This window comes from Homo sapiens, chromosome 9 (genome assembly GCF_000001405.40).
Source record: "Homo sapiens chromosome 9, GRCh38.p14 Primary Assembly".
Lineage (NCBI taxonomy): Eukaryota > Metazoa > Chordata > Mammalia > Primates > Hominidae > Homo > Homo sapiens.
Genome location: NC_000009.12, coordinates 35,790,991 through 35,815,499, shown reverse-complemented (window position 1 = coordinate 35,815,499; position 24,509 = coordinate 35,790,991). Strand labels below are relative to the sequence as shown.

General features: G+C 50.7%; 3 protein-coding genes across 17 annotated transcripts, besides 5 other annotated features; 2 read left to right on the top strand and 1 right to left on the bottom strand.

The window, feature by feature from the left end:
* On the top strand, positions 21-2,540 carry HINT2 (histidine triad nucleotide binding protein 2). Of its 4 annotated transcripts, none has more exons than XM_024447702.2 (5): positions 21-371; positions 1,716-1,856; positions 1,951-2,055; positions 2,162-2,234; positions 2,355-2,540. In XM_024447702.2, the coding sequence occupies exons 1-5, from the start codon at positions 285-287 to the stop codon at positions 2,444-2,446; spliced, it is 498 nt and encodes a 165-aa protein (XP_024303470.1). In that variant the 5' UTR covers positions 21-284; the 3' UTR covers positions 2,447-2,540. The 4 variants fall into 4 exon arrangements, with proteins under 4 accessions (XP_024303470.1, XP_024303471.1, NP_115982.1 ...); XM_024447703.1 differs by having other exon boundaries at positions 2,344-2,540; NM_032593.3 differs by lacking the exon at positions 21-371 and adding an exon at positions 458-601.
* Positions 86-265: an enhancer, noted in NCBI's record as "active region_28338". NCBI's record gives its function as "activates an Ori minimal core promoter by ATAC-STARR-seq in GM12878 lymphoblastoid cells {active_cell/tissue: GM12878}" and the evidence as "EXISTENCE:reporter gene assay evidence [ECO:0000049][PMID:35858748]".
* Positions 326-645: a silencer, noted in NCBI's record as "silent region_19881". NCBI's record gives its function as "represses an Ori minimal core promoter by ATAC-STARR-seq in GM12878 lymphoblastoid cells {active_cell/tissue: GM12878}" and the evidence as "EXISTENCE:reporter gene assay evidence [ECO:0000049][PMID:35858748]".
* Positions 3,164-3,720: an enhancer, noted in NCBI's record as "H3K4me1 hESC enhancer chr9:35811777-35812333 (GRCh37/hg19 assembly coordinates)". NCBI's record gives its function as "activates a minimal SCP1, AML or CMV promoter by ChIP-STARR-seq in naive H9 embryonic stem cells {active_cell/tissue: H9 hESC(naive)}" and the evidence as "EXISTENCE:reporter gene assay evidence [ECO:0000049][PMID:30033119]".
* On the top strand, positions 3,238-7,715 carry SPAG8 (sperm associated antigen 8). 9 transcript variants are annotated; one of them, NM_172312.2, is made up of 8 exons: positions 3,238-3,396; positions 3,499-4,318; positions 4,443-4,617; positions 4,818-4,863; positions 4,947-5,061; positions 5,191-5,253; positions 5,988-6,096; positions 7,194-7,715. In NM_172312.2, exons 1-8 carry the CDS (start codon positions 3,353-3,355, stop codon positions 7,325-7,327), a joined length of 1,506 nt encoding a protein of 501 aa, NP_758516.1. In that variant the 5' UTR covers positions 3,238-3,352; the 3' UTR covers positions 7,328-7,715. The 9 variants fall into 9 exon arrangements, 8 of the variants coding, with proteins under 8 accessions (NP_758516.1, NP_001034681.1, XP_024303278.1 ...); NM_001039592.2 differs by lacking the exons at positions 5,988-6,096; positions 7,194-7,715 and adding an exon at positions 5,368-5,705; XM_024447510.2 differs by lacking the exons at positions 5,988-6,096; positions 7,194-7,715 and adding an exon at positions 5,368-5,705 and having other exon boundaries at positions 4,443-4,626.
* Positions 3,420-3,469: an enhancer, noted in NCBI's record as "active region_28337". NCBI's record gives its function as "activates an Ori minimal core promoter by ATAC-STARR-seq in GM12878 lymphoblastoid cells {active_cell/tissue: GM12878}" and the evidence as "EXISTENCE:reporter gene assay evidence [ECO:0000049][PMID:35858748]".
* NPR2 (natriuretic peptide receptor 2) lies at positions 5,769-23,909 on the bottom strand. Of its 4 annotated transcripts, none has more exons than NM_001378923.1 (22): positions 22,425-23,909; positions 21,397-21,602; positions 15,769-15,882; positions 15,343-15,478; positions 15,017-15,111; positions 14,659-14,791; positions 14,346-14,430; positions 13,737-13,866; positions 13,500-13,574; positions 13,217-13,294; positions 12,893-12,997; positions 12,697-12,768; positions 9,830-9,989; positions 9,515-9,670; positions 9,267-9,435; positions 8,962-9,108; positions 8,354-8,477; positions 8,102-8,170; positions 6,817-6,991; positions 6,647-6,745; positions 6,253-6,344; positions 5,769-6,120 (listed from the first exon to the last, which is right to left on the bottom strand). In NM_001378923.1, the coding sequence occupies exons 1-22, from the start codon at positions 23,089-23,091 to the stop codon at positions 6,055-6,057; spliced, it is 3,153 nt and encodes a 1,050-aa protein (NP_001365852.1). In that variant the 5' UTR covers positions 23,092-23,909; the 3' UTR covers positions 5,769-6,054. The 4 variants fall into 4 exon arrangements, with proteins under 4 accessions (NP_001365852.1, NP_003986.2, XP_047279387.1 ...); NM_003995.4 differs by having other exon boundaries at positions 13,737-13,857; XM_047423431.1 differs by lacking the exons at positions 15,017-15,111; positions 15,343-15,478; positions 15,769-15,882; positions 21,397-21,602; positions 22,425-23,909 and having other exon boundaries at positions 14,655-14,747.
* Positions 16,499-16,558: a silencer, noted in NCBI's record as "silent region_19880". NCBI's record gives its function as "represses an Ori minimal core promoter by ATAC-STARR-seq in GM12878 lymphoblastoid cells {active_cell/tissue: GM12878}" and the evidence as "EXISTENCE:reporter gene assay evidence [ECO:0000049][PMID:35858748]".

Genomic DNA, 24,509 nt, shown 5'->3' with positions numbered 1-24,509 from the left:
GGGTCTAAAACAGCCCTTTCTGCAGCAGGTGGCGGAGCCCCGCCCCCTTCTCCCCGCGCACCAATAGGAACCAGACCTGAAGAGGACGAACCAAGAACGAAAAGAACCACCCACTCGGGAGCCGCAACCTAGAAGCCAGAGTTGTGTATCAGATTCAACTAGGAGAAAATCCCACCTCCAGGCTCCATTAATCCTTCCAATGGAGTGGAAGTTTCTCTCACAGAGAAACTAGTAAGGGGATCCAATGGGAAAAGAACGTTCACACGGACTAGAAGACGAAACCAATGGAATGGAAAATTGTCCTCGCGTTGGTAGAAGCAGCCAATGAGATGAAAAGAGCCCGCCTCCAAAGTGGCTGCAGAGGCAATGGGGTGAATCGTGCTCAGAGGCGCGCTCCAATGGGGTAGCAGGGCTCGCCCGGCCGCCACTACCCCGCTTCCCCGCGCCCGGAGTCCCCACCCACGGCCGGCCGCGGAGCCGAGTGCTGACCCGGGTGAGAGGTTCCCGCGGCTCAGGGAAGATGGCGGCAGCCGTGGTGCTGGCTGCTGGGTTGCGCGCGGCGCGCAGAGCCGTGGCGGCCACGGGGGTGCGCGGGGGGCAGGTGAGAAGTGGCGCGGGAGCGAGTAGGGGGTCCTGCGGGCTCCGAAGCCATCCGGGGCCAGGGGGTCCCGAAGGCGCGCAGAGCCGCGCAGAGCTCCTGCCTGTGGCCTCTGCCCCTCCGAGGCACAAGCTCCGGGGCTGTGTGGTGAGGTCGAACTGGTGGCTCCGGAGAACGAGCTGGTGCTGATTCCCGCCCTGCGCAGGCCGGGGCGCCGAGGTCGGGACAGGGTCAGTGCAGCGGCTGCCGCCTTCTTTCCACTGCCTGCAGCCCAGCTGGCCCGATGCCCCCTGCAGGAAATGAGCTTTCTCTTCTTGGAGCCAGTGCTCTGCCCTCCTCAGGCTTCTGGCCTCCTAATGAGCACTAGTGTTAACCTCTCTTCTGCACTTGCCAGAAGCGGCTCGGAGGTCAGAGAATTCATTCCGTCCCGTTCTCCCCCAACGTGATGCAATGACATCAGCCTTCTCTGAATCCCTTACCCGAAGTTCCCTGGGGCTAGGGGAGCAGAGGTCACTTAGCTGAACTCTTACCTCCACTCATTCAAGGGACAAGAGTTAAAATTCACAGAGTCACATGTGACACCCAGATGAGGGGTCAACTAGTGTCAAACAGGGCGATTGCATTAAAACTTAAATAAAACAGGCGACAAGGCTTAAAGATCAGAAAACAAGTAACGGAAATAAGTGGAAATGTACTAACAAGGTGAGAGTGGAAAGAGATTCAAGCCATCGCAAGAGATTATGGAAACCATCCCTTTATTTTATATTAGAAGCTGAGAGAAGGAATTTATCTGAGGTAATTCAGTGGTATGGTAAGGTAGGAACTGAGACCAAAATCCCCAGTCTCTCATTCTAGATCCTTTCCCTAAACAGTGCTATATTTCGTGGACACATGAGCAGGAATCAATTGCACTGCTGAATCCTGATAATAATACCGCCTGTTATCTAACCAGGTCCAGCACCTTCTGGCCCTACCCTTTGCTGCTGGTGCTCTGAAATTCAGGAACTTTCCTCCTGGGTGGGAACGATGAATAGGTTATTAGAAGGACGAAATTAACAACTATCAGAGCCCAGCTTCTGCCAGCTCCCTCCTTTGAATATGGTCGATCCACCTTCAGGTCCGAGGAGCTGCAGGTGTGACTGATGGGAATGAAGTGGCCAAGGCCCAGCAGGCAACTCCTGGGGGAGCAGCCCCAACCATCTTCTCCCGGATCCTGGACAAGAGCCTCCCAGCTGACATTCTCTATGAGGACCAGCAGGTGGGGTGCTCTTAGGACCTATCCCCTTAGGAATGTTGTAGATACCATCCAACCTGTTGAAGTAACGTGGCCTCTGGCCTGTCACTTCCCCCAGTGTCTTGTGTTCCGTGATGTGGCCCCTCAGGCTCCTGTGCACTTCCTGGTCATTCCTAAGAAGCCCATTCCTCGGATTAGCCAGGCTGAAGAAGAAGACCAGCAGGTGGGAAGAACAGGGCCAGGGTTTGGCTGGGAGGAGCCCCTGGACCCAGCTAGAGGTCTTGCTCCCTATGAATGAAGCCACCTATGTCCCTCCGCTCTCTCTATAGCTTCTAGGACACCTACTCCTTGTGGCCAAGCAGACAGCAAAGGCTGAGGGCCTGGGAGATGGATACCGACTTGGTGAGTGACTTTTGGCCCTTGGTCCCTCACCTATGAATTCTCATTCCTACTTCTCAATATGATCTTCATTCTTCGACCTCTGCCATGATCCTGACTCCCTAACCCCAAGCTCAATTTCAGTGATCAACGATGGGAAGCTGGGTGCACAATCTGTGTATCATCTGCACATTCATGTACTTGGGGGCCGGCAGCTCCAGTGGCCTCCAGGTTGAACCTGCCAACTGATTAAAGGACACCAGACTCTGGATGCTTGGATGGAAAGGGAAAAATGGACCCTGTGATGCTAATAAAACTGTTCTCCCTTAATTATGCTCTCCTGTCTTTAATATAAAATTTTATACCACAAAGGGGAAAGAAAACTGATTCAGGGCTATGATGCCCCTTGACTGGTCTGAGTGAAAGACACTGAGGAGGTCCAACCTGTGGTTAAATGTTGCCTGCAGATATGTAAGTCTTCTTGACAAGTGGTCCACCCTAGGTCAAGCTTCTAGAAAAGTAACAGTAGGAATGAGCCTAAATGAGTAGGAAGAAACTGAAAGCCAATCCTGGCCCTTCTTCAGAGGTCAAACCAGGTTCTAAGGGCGCTTAGGAGGAGGGTGGTCAATATGAGGGTCTTTTATTAGAGGAGGAGTAATCACACCCAAACAAAAGCGGCTGCCTTTTCACTATTCTACGTCTCACCATTTTGCTCAAGCTAGTTTGTTTATTTTCATCCTTAACATTTGTTAAAGACCCCACTCACTTTTGAGAATGAACTAAGCAAACTAAGGGGAAGCTACTTGCCTCTCAGCAAACACCAAGTAGGCTGTAATCTAATGCCACAACCCTGTGCCTGTTTCCAACATATCCCCATAAAGCATCATCTTAGAAAACCGCACGCAAAGACTGTTTGGACGTGGAGGGCGAGGTCTTAAGCCAGCGGAACCCTAAAACCCCGTCTGAGGCGGAATGCCGCCGGGACCGGAAAGCGGACCTCCCTAACAGCACTAGGCTGAAGACTTCCGCCCCGCAGAGGACTTGCCTCCACCGCCACCTGCAAGTCCGCCCAGCTGTACTTCTGCGCAGGCTCCAGGAGTTGTTTGCTGTCTCTATGGCAACCCAGTAGCTGGAGTCTGAAGATGGAGACCAACGAGTCTACGGAGGGATCGCGGTCGCGGTCGCGGTGAGAGCCGCAGCTCTGGCTGCAGGCATAAGGGGACGAGGAAGGTCAGCTGACTTCCTCTGCTGCGCTTTTGACAGCCATGTCGTGTTTGCTTTCTTTCAGATCTTTAGACATACAGCCCAGCTCCGAAGGACTGGGGCCCACTTCGGAACCGTTTCCTTCTTCAGATGACAGTCCCAGGTCGGCCCTGGCAGCTGCAACCGCAGCAGCTGCAGCGGCTGCATCAGCTGCTGCAGCTACTGCAGCCTTCACCACTGCCAAAGCAGCTGCATTATCTACAAAGACCCCAGCGCCCTGTTCTGAGTTCATGGAGCCGTCCTCTGACCCCAGCCTTCTTGGGGAGCCCTGTGCGGGACCCGGCTTTACCCACAATATAGCCCATGGGAGTCTTGGCTTTGAGCCCGTCTATGTTTCCTGTATTGCTCAGGACACTTGCACTACAACTGACCATAGTTCTAATCCTGGCCCTGTTCCAGGCTCTAGCTCTGGGCCTGTTCTTGGTTCCAGCTCAGGTGCTGGCCATGGCTCTGGCTCTGGCTCTGGTCCTGGCTGTGGCTCTGTCCCTGGCTCTGGCTCTGGTCCTGGTCCTGGCTCTGGTCCTGGCTCTGGTCCTGGTCATGGCTCTGGCTCTCATCCTGGTCCTGCCTCTGGGCCTGGTCCAGACACTGGCCCTGACTCTGAGCTCAGCCCCTGTATTCCTCCAGGGTTCAGAAACCTGGTGGCAGATCGGGTCCCTAACTATACCTCCTGGAGTCAGCACTGCCCCTGGGAGCCCCAGAAACAACCACCTTGGGAATTTTTGCAAGTCTTAGAACCGGGTGCCCGAGGACTATGGAAACCCCCAGACATTAAAGGGAAGCTTATGGTTTGCTATGAAACTTTGCCGCGGGGCCAGTGCCTCCTCTACAACTGGGAGGAAGAGGTATTAAAGTTTTGGCCTGCTCCCTTTTCTTGAAGGCTGCCCTCAGTTTCTTAGGGGAGGCAGTAGTTTACATGAGGGTGGGTACCAGAAGGGATATTATAGTCATTCAACTTGGGATCCACAGAGAGCCACCAACCACCTGGATCAAGTCCCAAGCATGCAGGATGGCTCTGAGAGTTTTTTCTTCCGACACGGACACCGGGGACTGCTGACTATGCAACTAAAGTCACCCATGCCCTCCAGCACCACCCAGAAAGACTCGTACCAGCCACCAGGAAACGTCTATTGGCCACTTCGAGGTGTGAAATGTGAGAGGGTAGGCCAGAACGAGCCCATTACTCAGAGGGAAGAAGAGGAAGGAATTTCTGGTGGGGCTGTGGATTCTCCAGTGGATATAAGGGCGGAACCCCAAGGTTCTTCTTCCTTTTCTCAAGTTAGTTTCTTCTGGGCCTCCTTCTTAACCAGACCCCACCTTGCCCACCCCCCAACTCTCTCACAGGGAAGCGTGAAGCCATGCTGGAGATGCTCCTGCAGCATCAGATCTGGTAAGGGATTGGGTAAAGGGGAAGAGGGATGGGGAGGAGAAAAATTGGGTGAGAATGGCCTTGACACCCCTCGGGCTACATAGTAAAGAGGTGCAGGCAGAACAGGAACCCACAAGGAAGCTCTTCGAGGTTGAGTCTGTGACACACCATGACTACCGAATGGAGCTGGCACAAGCAGGGACTCCTGCCCCAACAAAGGTGAGAACCCACCCCCCATCCCCCGCCACTTGCACCAGCTGGGCTCTGACAGGCTGTGGCCAAGTACCAAGCCCAGAGGTTGAGAGAGAGGGCTGAAGGCCAGGAGTTACTCAGTACCCTCCCTCACAGCCTCACGACTACCGCCAGGAGCAACCTGAGACCTTCTGGATACAGAGGGCACCACAGCTGCCGGTGTGTGAGGGTGACTAGGTGTTGGGGGCAGAGCGGGGCAGGAAAGGTAGGGCAGAGTTGTTTTGTTCTGGCTTGGGGAGAGTGGGATCCATCCTCATCCTGGCACTCCTCCAGGGTGTCAGTAACATCAGGACATTGGACACACCATTCCGGAAGAACTGCAGCTTCTCAACACCAGTACCCTTGTCTCTGGGGAAACTTTTGCCCTATGAACCTGAGAATTACCCCTACCAATTGGGAGAAATATCTTCCCTTCCCTGTCCCGGAGGAAGGCTGGGTGGTGGAGGGGGGAGAATGACTCCTTTCTGAGGGGTGAGGAGGGAAGTGGGGTATGGAATATGGAATCTATTTCTGTCTGCACTAGAGAGGTCGGGAGGAAGTTAATTCTCACTGTACTTGAAGAGGCTTTACATAAAGGGTTCTCTCTCATCCCAAGACTGCTAATTTAGTGATTCTGTGAGTCACTGTGTGCATACCCCATAACCTTTCCTTGGGATTGCCCCTATCCCACACTATGACATCAGAACTTTTTTTATTATTGTTTTATATTTGACCAAAATATTCTGGTTTAGATACAGATATTTACAGAAAGTAGGGAGGAAGGGGACCAAGCCAGAGAGGGACAGGTATATGTACAGGGCTGAGCTGCAGAGGGCTACAACTTCCATATAAGGTAGGTTTTTTTGTGGCTGTTTTCCATTGCATATGAAAATGTCCATTTCTGGTGTGTGCAGACATGGTGGCCATTGCCCACCCAGGTACCAGCAGCAGAAGACTATCTGACTTGGAAAGAATGGGGGTTTACAGGAGTCCAGGAGGTCCTTTCCGCTCTCCTAAGAGCCAGTATGTTCGCATCTTTCCTTTTCCCTGGAAGTGGGAGAGTGGACATGATTCAGATGCTTCGATGTTAGTCCCTTTGTCTCCCTCTCTTTCCCTATGATTCCCATAATCACTTTCACCCTCCCTTTCCATGCCCCCCTCCCCATGGCCTGCCATCACCTTCATTTCCACATCCCCCCGAAGCTCTAGCTGGAAGCATCCTAGCTCATCTAGGGCATCCTTGGTGGTAGAGGAGACATGGATCTTCAGCGCTGGGGTGGGTGGAATGGGGAGGATGGTGGAATGAGGAATCAAAGAAAAGGCAATCAAATAATTGGTGATACTGTATAGCACCGTGCCCGACCAACCATCCCTGGGAAGCTCCCAATGCATATCTATTAGGACCAAAATATGCCCAACCTCCCAATGCATATCTATTAGAACCAAAATATGCCCGAGGATGCGACACTAAGGAACTGTGGTCTCTCAGATTAAGAAATTGGAGGGATTATGAAAAGAAGAAAAGGGCAAGATAAATTGAGGCCAACAGTGGGGTTGAGGGCTAATGTCTTACCTTGACCATTAGACTCCATTCGAGAAGCAGTGTTCACTGTGTCTCCAAAAAGACAATAACGGGGCATCTTCAGGCCAACAACCCCAGCACAGACTGGCCCTTTGAGAAGAAACAGGTTGGGAGAGTCTGGGAAAGGTGGAGACTAGGGCTGGAGTGAGAGTCAGCCTTACCAGTATGGACCCCTATGCGTAGCCTCAGCTGGTCATGGGGTCGGTGGCGGATGCGAAAGGAAGAAACTGCATCTAGTAATGCTAGGGCCATACGAGCAATTTCTGGTGCATGGCGTTGACCATTTCGGCCTGGGAGGCCAGATACCACCATGTAAGCATCCCCAATCGTCTCCACCTGATTGAGAGGGGGATTAAAAGGTCACCTCTATTTATATCCATGGGGATGGGAAAAAGTAGAGGGAGACAAGCTTGACACCATCATTAATCATCCTGACATGCTGGAGACCAGAATATTGACTAGAAAATAAGTGCCATGGTCCTGAGTCTAGGGGAGAGGAGATGTCTAGGGAATCTTTAAGTCTTCTTTCTCCACCCAGCACCTGGTGAATACTCAGTAAACATTTGCGGAATGAATGAACACCCTGTCTGCAGCAGGACATGGACAAATAGGCTCTGCCATCAGGAAATGGGAAGCAAGAAAACGGTAACTCAAGAGGACAGAGGCTGGTGAGGAGGTAAAGCAGGCCCAGTGAAATGGACCTGACAGCCCAAACTGTCAGAGAGGAGGAAAGCAGGCATTTGATTTTGGTAATTGTGCCAAAGCTATGTAAGAGAATAAATGCCATTGTTTTAAGGAAATACACAGTGAAGTTTTTAGGAAATACACACTAAGTATTTAGGGATAAAGTAGTTATCCCTAAATAGTAGTCTGCCACATGCCAAACAATGTTAGGTACTTTCCATACAACGAATCTATTATTCCCATCTTACAGATAAAACAACTGAGGCTCAGGGAGATTCTGTGACTTACCTAAGGCCACACAGTTAGCAACAAGCCAATATTCAAATCCAGATGATTTTTACTCCCAAGGACAATAAATCCAACTCAATAACTTCAACAAAAAGTTTTACTTTTTAAAATATATTTTCCCTCACCCCACTAAATCAGTCTGGACCCACATCCTATATGATTCTTCCATGTCTGGAGAGGACTGGAGAGAAATGTTGGATAGGCTGTATTTATACTCCAGGAAGATAGGAGCTAAATCTCATGATGGTTCTGATTAGGGAAGTCAAAGGATTCACAAGAAATTCGACTGGAGTGTACAATTATAGTGCTGGAGCTACATCTGTCTACGAAGTACACTCCAGCACCAGGATGCTGAGTACCCTGGAGGGAAAACTGATCATGGGGTGGGTAAGGTGTGTGGGGTTCAGGGAGACTGAGTTTCAAAGCGGGTCTCTATTAAAGGGTCTTCTATTGAACAGCGGCCCCAGCTCTCACCTTGTAGACATCAAAGTTGTCAATTATGGCATCAAAGCAGGTATACAGGTCATTAAGAAGTGTCACTACCTAAAAGGGATAGAAAAGCAGAGGCCCTGAGACTTGTGCCCAATTTTCTAAGAATTCTTAACCCACAAGCCATCAAAAGATGTGGGAACTCTAGAACAAACTCATCTTTCCTATTATCAATGAGGCTTCCCCAGGTCCCTACCCACCCAACCCCACCCGCCACCTCTCACCCATGGCTCTCACCTGCATGGGGGTGCTCTCTGCTGACAATGCTGTGAAGCCAACAATGTCACTGAAGTAGATGGTAACACTGTCAAAGGCCTCAGCCTGTACAGTCTCTCCCCGTTTTAACTGCTCTGCCACTGAACTAGGAAGCAAGGGTGCCGTATGAGCCAAACTCCAAGAGAGCAGGAGTGGAAGAGAGAGGGAAAGTGTATGTGGCTGCAGCAGAGATGAGCTGTAACAAGAAAGCTAGGCTTTTCAGGTGGGAGGGAGGAAAGTGGCTGGGAAGACATTACAGTCTAATGCAAGGTAAGGCACACAAGTGGCGGGGGGGTTTGAGGGGAATCCCTGTGCATGGGAGCTGTCTCAAGTTGGGACTGTTTTACATACACTTGCTGAAGCAAGGGTGTGGTAGAGCAGGGTCTTAAGAAGAAGGGATGGGCAGCCAGTAAGAAGGCAGCATAGCTGATGTGGAGACAGAATGACAGCAAATAATCTATAAGCAGGGGTGCTCCCTGTGGCCAGCAGGGTTCTGAGGGTGGGGAGGCGAGTTCTCAGGTGCCTGATGAGGCAGAGCCCAACAGAGCAGAATCCCAAAAGAAAATACAGGAAGGGGGACAAAGTCTCACTGGGGTAGGATTTGGTAGAGCAGAGCTTCAGCCTTGCGTTTTTCCTCCAGATAGGCCTGTGTGCGTTCCTCCACCAGCTTCTCCAAGTTATTGGCATACTGTTCCATGCGCAGCAGGAGGTTGTCCAATATGCTGGTGCCACCCTCCCTAGAGGGAGGCCAGGATAAGGCACTTGCTCTAAGATTCTGAAGATTCCCAGGACTTCCTATCCAACCCACCCTCTGGTCCCACCTGCCCCACTTCATGCACTAGGACTAATGAGTCTTCTATCCCTGGGAAGCCCCTGCCCCATAATGCCCTCTCACTTGTTAAAGCGCCGAATGAAGCCCTTAATCTGTCCAAAGTCTGGCCGCTCAGCTGGGTCCTGAGCCCAACATCGCTCCATCAGCAAAACTAGCTCTTCATTCAGTTGGGTCCGGTCAATGCTTGGCCGGAAATATGGCCGCTGACCATTTCGTACCTTCTGGACAATCTCTGAGGGTGATCAAAGGTTTGGATGAAGAACAGAGTTCCCCCAGGAAGAAGAGGCTGTGGGTAGTGGATTGACTCTTACCTTTGGGGCTGAGGTCCAGGCCCTCCAAGTAGAAAGGACCACTGCGAAGTGCTATCTCCTGCAGGATGATCCCAAAGCTATAGACGTCAGCCTTCTGCATGCCTGTGGTTGGCAAGGGGTTCCCACTGAGCAGTTCTGGGGCAGTCCACAGCTTCTCTGAAAAGAGGAAACCGGCTGGCCAGGTCCCCCGAAATGGGGCACCCCCAAGCCCACCTGGGCTCATCCCTATATTACTGTCACTCCACCTCCCTCTCCCACCATCCCTAGGTGGAAAGAGGAGCAATATAAAAAGTGGGTTGTGGGGGTGGGCCTCACTGGCATAGAGGGCATGGCTGTCATCAGGTTCAGCAGTTGATCGGAAGCTGGCCAGGCCATAGTCTGTGATTTTGAGCACAAAACGACTATCCACCACACAGTTGGAGGACTTGAGACTCCCATGCGATGAAATAATGCTGTTGTGGAGAAAGGCCATGCCCTGCAGGGTACAGATCAAGTCATGGGATTGGATCATATCTGGCTTAGAATACCCTCTCTCCATGAGATGGGCACTGGCTAGCTGTCTACAGATCTTGGGTCCACAAAAATAATAAGCTGATTTTGGAAGGCATCCTTTGCAGTTTCCACCCAAGGAAGCAGGAAGAACAGAAGAGTCATCTGTTCCTGGTATCATAAGCAGGACACAGGCACCCAGCCACCAGGGACAGGGAAAATGCTTAAAAAGAGGGATAAGTGGAGCTACAAATGACTACCCTGGAGAGGGCAGTCAATCTTCTTGATTAGTGAAGAGAACAGAACTTGGGTGAAGACCAAAATGATATAACACCCATGGTGGCCTCAGATACCTGGCTACTAATTAGGAAGACATGACTTGAGACCCAGGTATCAAGAGTAGCTGGATATACCAAGGAAGACCAGTTGTAAACTTTAATGCATAACCAGGCGTAGGTGGGCAAGTCGGGGTAGAGGAGGAACAAGATCTACTAGAGGGAGGTGGGCAGGTCGGGGTAGAGGAGGAACAAGATCTACTAGAGGGAGGTGGGCAGGTCGGGGTAGAGGAGGAACAAGATCTACTAGAGGGAGGTGGGCAGGTCGGGGTAGAGGAGGAACAAGATCTACTAGAGGGAGGTGGGCAGGTCGGGGTAGAGGAGGAACAAGATCTACTAGAGGGAGGTGGGCAGGTCGGGGTAGAGGAAGAACAAGATCTACTAGAGGGAGGTGGGCAGGTCGGGGTAGAGGAGGAATAAGATCTACTAGAGGGAGGTGGGCAAGTCGGGGTAGAGGAGGAACAAGATCTACTAGAGGGAATGCTGGATCAGAGAGAAAGTGCAGAACATCATAAACCTGGAAAATGGACAAAATCTGCTAAGCCAGTGCAGAAGCCTAAAACTGCTGGCTCTGTGGGTCCAGAGAGGGAAAAACCTTTGCCTCCGAGGAGCTGAAAGACAGTCTTAAAGGCCGGGCTCAGTGGCTCATGCCTGTAATCCCAGCACTTTGGGAGGCCAAGGCTGGCAGATTGCTTGAGCCCAGCAGTTCAAGACCAGCCTCAGCAACATGGCGAAACCCCACCTCTACCAAAAATATAAAAATGAGCCGGGCACTGCAGCACACGCTGTGGTCCCAGCTACTCAGGAGGCTAAGATGGGAGAATCACTTGAGCCCAGGAGGTCGAAGCTGCAGTGAGCAGTGACCTAGCCACTACACTCTAGCCTGGGTGACAGAATAAGACCCTGTCTCAGAAAAAAAAAAAAAAAAGTCTTAATGATGCTCCCCAAAAATGAAACCCTAGGAGCCACCCAAGTCAGTTCAGGTGAGACAGAAAGAGGATACAAGGTTCAATATGCTAACAAAAAACATTTCTGTCTAAATGTTTAGCTCTGGACTTAATTCATAACTCTAATCTCTATGAATTCTTCCTTTTTATTTATTTTGGTATCAACAAAACTTTTGGGAATCTCTGAAGTTGTGAATTTACTTGTGTGGAAACTGTGCAAAGGATGCCTTCAACAATCACAGGATTAGGCTTCTGGCTTTGTTGTAAATCACTTTTCCACCAAATCACTGTTCTCTCAAGAGTCGTGTCTTATGTTTATCATCACACCTCTAGTTGAGCATGACATTGGCTTTACTAATATTTTTATCTCTCATTTGATAGCAAATTTTCACACACAAAAAAATACTTTTTAAATAACTTCATGAGAATTCAGCAGAAAACCAAAGCTAGTTTCAGATACAGTGTGGGGTGATCCACTGGGATGCTCATTGGCTATGAGACTTATTTCAGAAAACCTGTCCAACTCATGCAAGATTCTATTTTATGCTCCACAAATCCATGGGCCTCTGAGTCATTTGAACATAGCTAAAACCTAGTATAACAGAAGAGTACCAAAGGTTTTTAGTACAATCTTCCTTGGTTTCTCTTAGTTCTACTAGTAAATGTTCCTTTTTTAAATTTCAGTTTTCTGAACAAAAGGGCAGACATGCCAAATATTGGTCAGAGAGTAAAATAATGAGAGGAAAAACAGGAGATAAATATGTTCGGAGAGTAAAATAATGAGAGGAAAAACAAGAGATAAATATGTTCAGGCCGGGCGCGGTGGCTCACGCCTGTAATCCCAGCACTTTGGGAGGCCGAGGCGGGCGGATCACGAGGTCAAGAGATCGAGACCATCCCGGCTAAAACGGTGAAACCCCGTCTCTACTAAAAATACAAAAAAATTAGCCGGGCGTAGTGGCGGGCGCCTGTAGTCCCAGCTACTTGGGAGGCTGAGGCAGGAGAATGGCGTGAACCCGGGAGGCGGAGCTTGCAGTGAGCCGAGATCCCGCCACTGCACTCCAGCCTGGGCGACAGAGCGAGACTCCGTCTCAAAAAAAAAAAAATATGTTCAGAGACTCCACTCATTTTATGAGTTCTTAGAGGTAAAAGAGATGATGGAAAGAGACCTGAGATATTTAAGACAGAAAGATAGAAACTCTCTACAGGCACAGGACTCCTTGTGGCAGGTAAAACTCACTGTCCCAGTTATAAGCCCCAGACTCCTTGTTTACCCATTATTACCAGACCATGGGAATAAGGGGAGATGAGAGAACAGGACTTCAGAGGACTAGAAGGAGAAAAACCACAATCAAAGAACAGTGGAAGTGATTTAAAGTGGATGAACTTTTAAGGAGTGGGGAAGACTCACCTTAACAAGGTCATTAATGAGTGAATAACGAAACATCCAGTCCAAGTTGATGCTGTCATTTTCTAGAATATCCTGGTAAGTGACATGGAATAGACTGTCTGTCCTGGTCCCACCAGCTATCACCCAGCATAGAGTCAGTATAACTTTGGGTCTATCCTTCCCACCCCTGCCATAATCTCCTACACCTATCCCTCACCTGTAAACTCCCACGAGGACAGTATTCAGTGACAATGCAAATGTTGGGAGGGTCTATGCAGGCGCCAATGAAGCGAGTGAGATGGTTGAACTGAACATCTCTCATCTGGCAGAAAAAAACAATGGGAAGGATAAGAAAATTGAAAGAGTTAAAAATTAGATACAGAAACTTACCACTACATAAGAGGACCTTTCTCTTAGTTGTATCTACGATTTTAAAATCATTTATAAATCAACCCCTTGCCCATCTAGCCAATTTTACTATTTCATAGTTTTCCCCACTCCTCCATTACATACATGTTAGAGTCCATCCTCTGTTACATACATGTTTGAGTTCAAACAGAACCTGCCGGGTCAGCTCAATGCGCTTCTTATTCACATGTTTGATGGCGACAACATTTCCCTGATGGTGGGAGTGAAAGGGGAAAGGAAAGTGAATATCAGAAGTTCTGGGTACAAGGAAATGCTAGAGAGCAGTGGAAGCACCCAGGAGCTCAGCTGGGCACAGAGAGTCGGGTATGAGGGACAGAGGTTCAGGGGCAGAGGTGGCAGATGGGGATGAGACAGGATGAAATGGTGGGGACCAGAACAAGCAAATGACTGTTCACCTTGAAGTGACCGGTGTTGGCAAAGATCTGGTATTTCCCATGGGCTGTCATGAGCGAGCCGTAACTGGATCCCCGCTGGGGCCAAGGGCAACATGGAGGCGGAAGGATGAAAGGAACATTAGATGATGGTGGTAGTGCAGGGGCTATCATTACAAGCCAATGTGCTGGGAGAGATCCAGGGTAAGAAGGGACAGGAACTCAGAGGGAGGCAGAGGAACAGCTGAGACAAGGGCTCACCAGCGACAGTGTGAGGCGACTGCCTGCACCTTTGTGATAACGCTCTGAGTTGCCAAACTGCAGTTCTTCCCAGCGAATACGCCACAACATGCTAGCCAGCTCCTTCTCCAGCATCAGCTTTCTGTAAGGACTGCACACCTCAGTTGACTGGCAAGCCGAATCCTGCCACCCCCAAGCCAACAGCAGGGTTGCAGGGGCTTCCCTGCAGCTCCTGAAGCTGCAACTGTTACACCTGAGAGACAGGGCTGGAAGATAAGGCTGCATTCTCGGCATATCTGGCACATGCCCTATGCTCACTAACAAACACAGAGACTGGGGGTGAAAGTTCTTTCCTAAAAGAAGACCAATGGAAAATTCACCTTTGATCTTAACCCCACTGAAAAACACTAGTTAGTATATCCAGTCTAGGACCAAAAGTGGAACAAACACCTAGGCTAAGCGACAACTAAAGAGAAAGGCTAGAGAGGAAGACGCTGTTGGATCTAAGAGACAACCAGCAAATTAAGAAACCTACTACCCTATCCCACATTATAGGGACCACCTGGCTTCAGCCAGAGGTTGTGTGGCAATGGGGGCAGGGAGTAGGTCAGCAAGAAACCCAGAACTCACCGGAAAATTAGGAAGCTGGAAACACCAAACATGATGAAGGTGATTCCTGTGCCCAGAGCCACAATTGCCAGGGTTGAAAGTGGAGCTGAAGGGGAAATAGAGACCCTGAGGAAGACTGTGTGCGGACTTGGCAGAATGGAGAACGGGGTGCATAGGTGCATAGACAGACTCCTTGGGAGTAGGAAGAAATGAGGAGGGAGGGATGCAGACGTAAAGGCAGAAGCACAGTTAAGAGTGGAGGGTCAGTGAGGGTGGAGGCCATGAATGGAAAGCAAAGGGAGGAAAGCTGCTCCCAGTCCCTGCACACACCCACTTTTATCACAGGATGGGTCGTCCAAGTCAAAGGCACAGGGGGGATTGTCCGAGGGAGGAGCCCCCTTCACCCAGGGAATAGGCCGTCCCGTCCACCAAATCTGCTTCTCAGCTCCCGAGTAGTGGGCTGCAGGCTGTAAGGAAGCAAAAAGCTGGGCCCACAGGCCTGCTCCCACCAGCCTCCTCCCCAGACCCCAGCTGTTTCGCTGCTTTTCTCCCCAGCCTACCACCCAGCCAGGATGCAGTGCCAGCAGAGAAAACAAATCCCTCATCTAGTAGTTTTGGTTCTGCCCCGACTGAACCCTTGAAAGCTGGATTTTGCAGGGCCACACTCTCTTCCCTGCCTCCTCCTCCATCACCTGAAAGTCCCCAGAATCCAGGTCTCCCATGGCCCAGAGGACAAAGTCAGTCTCTCGGTCATTGTTCTTGTCCATGACAACCAGCCCAGTTACACCTAAGACAGAAAAGAGTGTCCTTTCTTTGAGGTCTACCCTGGGCTCCTCTCCCACTCACTCATGCCTACGGCTCCCTCAGAGTCTACCCTTCCCCGATCTTGAGGTGTGGGCAACTCTGCCATATTCACTAACCCCCACTAAAGCTGTGGTGATCCTGACATCTGTTTCTTCTTCAGCCCACTCTATTCCTGACATCAGCCCTCAGACCCCCATTGACCCCTCTTCATTACCGTGATATCTTCGTCCCTGCATCTTTTCCACAATTCGAAGTCCATCCTCCCGGGTGCCTCCTTCCTGTATTGTCTCATTCAGGACTTCAGCATATAGCAGGATCCCATCATAGAAGCAGCCAGCGATGAGGTTCATCTGGGGGTGGCAACTTCAGCAGTACTCTCCAAATGTCCTGCAAGGCCCCTTCCCCTCTCTCTGGGGTCTCCCTTCTACCTATTCTCTCTTCTGGTTTGCTTTCTTCCCTCTTATTCCTAAAGTGCCATCCCTTCCTAACTACTCCATAGGGCAGAAGGAAAAATCCTGGACAGAAGCGGAGACCCCCCAAAGTTGGGCTTGCTCCACAGCCAAGACTTGATGCTGAGTTTGGGAGAGAAGCCCTTCCCCAAAGCTTGACCTGACTCTCAGGAAGGGAGAGATCTACTTACCAGGGAAGGGCCCAGCTCCACACCAAAGTCTTCCCGGGCTCTTATCAGCAGACGATTCTGGAATTCCTGATACTCAGGATTTGGGGGTTCTCGGTACGTGATCACCAATACAGTCTGTACCAGCAGCATATGGGGAAGAGTGAACAGGATTCAAGATAGGCATTATGGGAAGAGAAGATGCAGGACAGGGAAACTTGGTAAAATATACATGATATAAAATATACACAGGTGAGTCTGAAGGCTTTGAAAGGGCTACTAACCTCTCTCTCTCTGCGTGTGTGTGTGCGTGTGTGTGTGTGTGTGTGTGTGTGTGTTGTGTTGCATACATCTGGGAAGAGGGAGTGGCACTCCTCCTGAAAGGTAGATAGGACTGGTTCTGGGAAGGTGGAAACTGGCAAATAATAGTCAACCCCATCCCCAAAGCCCAGCCCAACATCTTCCAGAGCTCCCTTCCAGCATCCAGGTTCCTGCCAGGCCACCACAGCTCACACGGCTCCTCTGTCCCATGCTTTCTGGGTATCTGCTTATGATCAAGGACAACACCCACTAACAGCTCCTCTCTGAGATGTTAATCACTGTTAATGTCATCAGTAAAATACTAACATTGTCATTTCGGCCACTTGAACACAGTGTCTCCGCCCAGTGAATTAGAGAGATTTCAGGCCCTATGACAACTGAGGGAAATACTTTGAGACAGTGATTCCACCTGTGAAAAGCTGTGTGCTCATCCATTTAATGTGTGGAACACCTACCACAAACAGCACTGTCCTGCTTACTGAGTAATAGATGTGTCACAGGGACAAACACACAGTCACATGCCCACACACATTTCACAGGTAAGCAAATGACACATGTGATCTCAGACATGCACACATCTCACTGGCGCATGAGTCAGCATCTCTGTCTCTCACCAAAGTGCCTGCTTGGCTCCCATTAGTCTCACACATTTCCCCTTCCTGAGCTGCTGGACCTCCCAGTCTCAGGCCCTGCCTCAGGCCACATAGTCACTGAGACCAACTTCTGCTCCAACAGGAAACTGGCATCACAACTTCAAGGAAAGACTTCAGTTCAATATATTTTATGAAACATGACTTTGTGAAATGATAATTTAAAATCCGGTCATTTCTCCCAGTTTTGTTTATTCTTGTCATAGAAAGTACATGTGGACCATAGAGATACGCTGCACTAGACACATCACATATGGCCTATTATGTATCAATTCATTAGAGATAGGAAATAATAAAGTCGATTTCTAATATGCATTCATTATATTATATTAGACTGCAGCTTGCCTCAAGATATCATTATTCTTACTAGAGCATTTAGCTGCCTGATTACACACTTCTAACATTCTCCCAGTCTCAGGTAAAATTTTTTTAAAAAGAGAAGGGAATTGAGGAAAGGGTTGAAATAGTTCATTCAGTAGCACCTGTTCCAAGAATAAAATAAAGAGGTAGAATATTGTTGACAAGCAATGTAAAAAGTCAGGAAAAGGGCGAGAAAAGATCAGGTTCAACACAATTTATATTTCAATAAAGGCTGATGATAGGTTTTTAACACATTTTAAACACTAATTCTCAACACTAAGTTTGGCTAGTTTGTTAGGCTAGCAGTTATCAAACTTTTGGTCTCACAATCGCTTTATACTCTTAAAAATTATTAAGGACCCCAAATAAAGTTTGTTTATGTGGACTATATCTATCAATATTGACCATCTTAGAAATTAAAACTGATAAATTTTGAAAACGCAAGAACACACAAGCACACCTTCCATAGCTGTCCAAGTGATGACATCATCATGCCATGTAACCTCTGGAAAACTTCCCTACACAATCACAAAAGAACAAGCGTGACAAAGCAGATAAGATCTTTGTATTATTTTTAAATAGTTTTGACCCCATGGTCCCCCTAAACTGCTATGCTAGAACTGTTTTTGCTGTGGTTACTAGTTGTAGTTGTAGTACCAAAAAACAAAAATGAAAAACCAAACCAAAAAAAAAAACCCAACCTCAAACAGTTTCTGTGCTTGCTCAGGGGTTTGAGAGAAAGTGAAGGAGGATAATTGTGTCCCATTTCACAGTGGACCCCAGGTGGAAAAAACAAGCAAAGTCCGCCACAAATGGGTGCAGTGGTGGGTGGGTGCCAGGAGCACACCTAGGAAATGTGCACCCTCAGGAGGCACCTGCCTCTATCTGTGGACCCGCCCACTGAGACTTGCCCTGGCCAACTGGAGAGTGGTCAACAGTGGCCTAATGAGACAAGTGATCTCCAAGCCCTTGGTTTAGTGCTTTCTTCCATTCTTGCCGCTGGTGCTCCCTGTGTGTAACCCAATCTCATGCTGGTCATGTAGGTTGTGACCTCTGCCTGGGTTTCTAACCCTGTAGTCCTCCATTGACCAGCCTGGGCTTCTGGATCCTCAGAGCCTGGTCATTGCTTATTTAGTTCCACTCAATCTTTTCTTCCCTATCCTGGTTGATCACCTAGTTTACATTACTTGCCAGCTCTACTCCTGTCTAGGTGAATTCCTCATCCTATCCCCCTCTCCCCAACACACCCCTAATTCAATTCAGCAAATATGTGTTAAACACCTACTACATGCTAGACATATGGAATATGAAGATGAGCATGATCCCTGCCCTGGAGCAGCTAGTGGCTAAATGGGAGAGAAAAATCATATCAACATACTTGATTTCAGAGCTCTCTCCCTAGTAGCCAGTATCGATACGGCATGAGCTAAGGCCTTTCCTTGAGCATGATACCCTCCTGGAAAAGCTGTGGGCATCTGTGTCAAGGCCTCCTTTCCTCTATTGCCACCTTTTCCAGGCTGGCCTGGTCTGGGACCTCAGAGGGCCAGTGTCTCTGGGAGAAAGGCTCTGTGCTCTTTCATCCTTGCTTGGCTGTAGCTAACTGCCCAACTTCCCTCAGACTCTCCCCTGCTTCCCCATTGGAAGGTGGGGGGCGGGGCACCTTATCACCCCTCAGCCCCACCTACCCAAAGCCTTGACCTTCCCATCAGCATATTCCTGGTGCCTAGTTCCCTTCTCTTGTGTTGCAGCAAAGATTCCCTCTTTATTTCTCTGTCTGAATAATGCCCACAGTGAGGGGGAGAACTGAGAGTTAATTGATATAACTGATTATTGGATGACTAGATCCCTCCTCTAGCTACCCTTAATGCTGGGGACTCTTGGCTGGGCAATAATGCTCACAGAAGAAAGTGAGGCTTTTCTTCCACAAATAGAATACAGCCAGCAAGGCGCAGTGGCTCATGCCTGTAATCCCAGCACTTTGAGAGGCCAAGGCAAGAAGATCATTTGAGCCCAGGAGTTCGAGACCAGCCTGGGCAACATGATAAGACCCCATCTCTATAAAAAATAAAAAATTATCTGGGCATGGTGTCATATGCCTGTAGTCCCAGCAACTCGGGAGGCTGAAGTGGGAGGATTGCTTCAGCCTGGGAGGTCAAGACTGCAGTGAGCAGCTGTGATCACACCACTGCTCTCCAACTTGGGCAACAGAGCTGTCTCAAAAAGAAAAAGGATATAACCAGGAAGGTTATGGAGTGCTCCCATCTGAGAGGGTCACAGATCTTCTGCAGTCCACACCAGCTGAAGTACAATCCCCTTGTTCTTCTCTTTTCATAACACTCTATTCCTTTCCTCTTTATGTTTTAGTAACACATCACAATATGTTCCTACATTTGTATTTATTTGCTTACTTATTTATTGCCTGCCCATCCTACCAAATGTAAACTCCAAAAAGGCAGGAACAAAGTCTGTTATGCTCTCCCTTGTATACCAGTACCTAGCACAGTGACTGGACATGATAGGTGCTCAGTAAATACTAATGAAATGAGTCAGCCTTCAAATAAATCAAACACAGACTGAATAATATGGTTAGTTCTATGGTAGATGGAGTTAAGCAAAAGAGTAGGAAATTCAGTCCCACTTAGGGATTCTGGGATCATTTCCTAGAAAGGAAAATAACTGGTATGAGTCTTAAAGAATATGGAAGCATTACCCAGACAAAGGTGAGAAGATTGTTTTAGGAAAACATTATGGCATAAACAAAACCTGCCCTGCCACTGCCCATATTCAAGTGTGACAGTCACAGACTCATTCTCAGGCATGCAAACAGCTATGTCATTCTCAGTCAGACACACACTCGTCAGTCGCAACCAAATATATAATCACAGCCACATAAAACCTTATTGGAGAAGAATGGCCACCCAGGTCCAGCCCTTATACACAGCTACTTCGAACCAAATAATCCCAGAGTTTAAAGGACTTTAAGGTTATCCCATAAGCCACCTCCAATCCTTCTTGGAAAAAAGGAGGGATATGGATAAATACACGGGAAACACTTATATGCACGGTTAGTAAAAAAGTGGCGGGGGAATCGGGAAGATTCATGGGTATGATTTTGAGAGGCAGATATTTGGGATGAGGGAAGGAAGAGCATTCCAGACAAAAGGAAAAAGAACATAAAGGCACAGGGGCAGGAAGGCCCTGGGGTTGGGGGAACTCAGAGGCCTGGTAGGCTGCAGTTCTCAGCATGAGGGTACCAGGAGGTAAGACTGAAAAAGTGGTTTGAGAACAGACTGCAGAAGGTCTTAAATGTCACAATAAGGAGTCAGGATTTTATTCTCTAGAACACAAGTCACTGAAAGTTTTGAGCAGGAGTGAAATGAACAGAGTCATGCCAACATTCCCCACAAATTTTCTGAAATCTGAAATGCGTTTCTTTCCATTCCTGCTATCATCACACTAGTTCAAGCTATATCACCTCACCCCCTTCTAATCTGTTACAGTTGGTCTCACTGCCCCAGGTCTCCCCCTCTTCTAATCCTGAATTCTGTCACTACTGTATAATTATCTCCACACACACACACACACACACAAAAAGTCAAGGACCCCAAATTCAAGTCCTAGTGCCTTAAGACTTAGAGCTCTCCTTAATCTGATTCTACCTTTGCAACTTTATTTCCTGTATCTCCTTTAAGTGAACCCCTCATTCTTGTCGGGTCAGTATCTTCTTGGTCTCTCAAACACGCCCATTCCTATCTTTTTCTCTTTGCTCAGGATGCTTGGATCTCCTCTCCCACTCTGACTATGAATATGACATCTATCATTAAAGTCACAATACGGTCTCACTTCCTGTGTAAAAGCCTTCCCTAAACACAGCCCACACTGACTCTTCCTCCTCTGAGCCACTAAAGTTCTTAGTGTCTGTTCCAGGACACATAATCATATCCTTTCTCAAACTTTGTCTGACTGTACCAGAACGATGCCTCACCTCTCCATAAAGGGTGGAAGCCCACCCAAGGGCTAGGATCAGATCTCTTCCTGAACTTTTCTCCCCCACAATATAGCCTACTACTGGCACTTAGGAAAGTCAGTGTTTTAGGATTTTGGAGGCAGCCAAAGTCAGTCTTGGCAGCAAGCACACTAAGAGTCACAAAAGTAGAGAAGTAAGAAAGGGTGACACTAGACTCAGAATGCCTCTGTTCATTTTACTCCTGTGGCTCACAATTCCTGCCTGGTTCCTAGGGTTTCTTTAGGGTCTTGTGAGAGAGAATTTCCAGCGAAGCACCTCTTCCCCCTCCTCCTTCAGATTTGGCTCAAATGATACCTGAAAGGCCTCTCTGAGGGCCTGGGCCTGTTCCCGGGTGCGATTGTCCTGCCAGGGCCGGCCTGTAGCACGTGTGGGGCCTGCACGGAGACTCTCCCCAAAGACATCCAGGTAAAAGAAGACATAATCCCCATTGGTCAGATTCTCCCTCTGGGCCTGAAGCAGGATCTCATGCAGCATCTCCAGAGGGCCGCAGATATACACAACTGGGAGCAGGTACATGACAGAGGAGCACCCTGAGAAGGTATCCAGGTCCCCCACACAGCCCCCTCTCTGAATCACTGGGATGTCCCTCTTCAGCAAGAAAGAGAGTGCCCTAACCTATCAACCCCAAAGCAGATGCTCCCCAGCCCACCCCTCTTGGAGTCCACCATAAGTACCCTGGGGCCATATGGACCATCTGGCAGAAGTCAGAGCCTGTCCAGACCCCAGAGGAAGGGAGCTGTCACTCTCAAGCCCCTCCCTTTCCCAGAGCCTCCCTTGCTGCTCCCCACCCAACCGGCCTGCTCCCTGACTCTTCCCTGCCCTTCCCTGGGCTCAAAGGCACAGACAGCACAGATTTCTCAGTATGAGCTTTATCTGTCTTTCCCAAATCTGCTGAGCCCTGAGTCCGTTCATGGAGCCCTCATTATTTTTACACCACCAAGGGGTCTTGGCGCCCAGTCTGGGTGGTAGCTCTGATCACAGACAGGGCACATTTCAGAGTGGCTATCAATCACATTCACTACTCTAGGGCACAAACATTGCTCCCGAAACTTAATATCCCCTCATTTTCACATTCCACCTTGATACAAGGCTTCACCCCTCATGCTCTCTTCTTCCTTGTTTGCATCTGCCTAGGGTGTTCACAAGCTCCCATGATGAAGCCTTGGCCCTCTCACAGGTGCTCTGTCCACGTGTGCTTCTTGATCCCAACCACCACATACAGCTGCTCAATGCCTATCTCCATCTACAGTTCCCCAGTGCTGAGCTTTAGGGACACAGCGACCCTCCTCCCATGACCCTAAAATAGCCCAGGCCACACTCACTGCGCCCGTTGGCCCGGATGAAGTGGGTGGCCTGCTCGGGGCCCCCTGGCTCTCGGGCATACACCTGGTGCTGCACACTGAGGTTGCTGCCCTGCAGGGCCTCAAAGACGCCCTCGATGGTGAAGTAGTGAGGCCGGTCATCTGTGCGAGCATCCAGGTACAGCAAGGCAGCACGGGCAGTCCAATTGAAGTGCCCGTGTAGTGTCACCACAAACTCACCCAGCTTGGGAGCAGAGGGGCCAGTGCGAACCAGGGTACGATAATGGTCATTCTTAGCCGAAAAACCAGAGGCCACAGCACCCGCAGTCAGCAGGGGAAGGCGCCAGTGGGAGGCAAAGCGGGCCACAGAGGCAGCAGGGTACACGCAACCGGGACCTAACAGCAGGTCGGGGTCATGGTACAGCTTGAGGTCCACAGCGCTCAGCGGTGCCAGGTACTCAGAGCAGGCGCCTTCCAGTTCGGAGCTGACAAACCGCAGGTCCACGGGCAGTGCCCGGCCCAGAGCCTCCACAGCTAGTGCCACAGCGGGTCCCACCCGTGGCCAGGCCCAGGCATAGCTCAGGTTGTGTTCTGGCAGCACCACCGCCAGCGTCAGGTTCCGCGCCCCGGGAGGACGCACCCCACCTGCCAGGGCTGCCACCAACAGCAGAAGTGATGGCAGCGCCATGGGGATAAAGCAGCAGCCCCACCGCCCCCAGAACTTGGGGCTGCTCTGGCCTACAGGGGAGACGCGAGCACCCCCCAGCCTGGAGCCTGGGGAAGAGGGCCAGGAAGAGGAGGAGTAGGCTAGGTAGGCTGGGATGCAGAAGGTGCTGGGGGCCGGGGAGAGGAGGGGGAGATGGGAGGAAGGCGGGGGGCGGGCAAGGAGTGGGCTACCAGCCTAGGGCAAGGACTGAGGACTGAGAACGGGGTGGCAGGGGGAGGGAGGGACCGAGGGGGCCTGCGGCCAGGATGGGGACAGTGCGAGGTGAAGAAGCCTGATAAATCTAAAGCTGAGAAGGAAAAGGGGATCTGGGACTGGGATGGGGTGGGGGTGGGGGGCGGGTGGTACAAAGAAACGGCCTGGGGGAACCTCACAGCTGAAAGGGCCGGGAGGGCAGGAGGGCGCTGCGCCACATAGGACCAAGGGGGTAAGGTGGGAGGGTGCCCGCGCCGCGGAAGGACTGGGATCATGGGCAGGCGGGGAGCGAAGCGAGGCCTGGGCCGGAGGGCAGGGGAAGGCAGGGGTAAATCTCCCTGTGAAGGATTCTCCCGGAGCTCCTGCTTGGACTAACGGGCCCGGGCGCTGGTCCCATCCGGAGCTACGGCGGCCCCGCCCGTGTCCCCGCTCCTCTCTGCTCCGCTTCTCCTGGGCCCTGGCGGCCGGCGCTGCCCGGCGCTTCCTCCCGCCCCCCGCCTGGGCCCCGCGCGCGCCGCTCGTCCGGGTCAGGTCGCCTCGGCCCGGCCCGTCTCCGCTCGCTGCGCCGGCGGCCGAGTGCGACTCCCCCGGGCAGGCCGCCCGCCCCCGCCCCTCCCCCGCTGCCTCTCCTCCTCCCTCCCGGCCCCACCCTCCGGCGCCGGCTGCCTTCCCCCACCCCCCACCCGGGCGCTCGGGACCGCCAGGTCCCAAACCCACCCCGGTGAGCACTTGGGGGCTCCGCACCAAGGCCTCGCCGGCCAGCAGGGTTCCCGGGCGCTCCCTCACTCTCAGGGCCTACCCTGGTCTCCCCCACGCCCCTGGTCCCCCTGCCGCCCCTCCTTCCATTTCCATCTCACACACGCCAGCGACCCCAGGGTTTGTCCTCTCCCCCTCGCTCAGCCCGTTCTTCTTGGGTCTCCCCTCTGAACTCCCTGAGTCCCTCAGTGGTTCCAGTCTCCAGGAAGCAGTCGAGGATCCCCAGACGTGTGGTATCCTCACCAGCCCCCTCACCTAGCAAACCATAGCGCCCTCCCGACGGCAGTGCGGCTTACTCCACCGCGGACCATGCCCGCTCCCTGGACGGGCCCCTCCAGCAGCCAGGGGCCCCTGCTGTACACTTCCCACCAGTCCTTAGAAAGTCCACGAGGCTCCTTCTTGCTTGGGACTCAACTCTCGGCCCCCCGCTG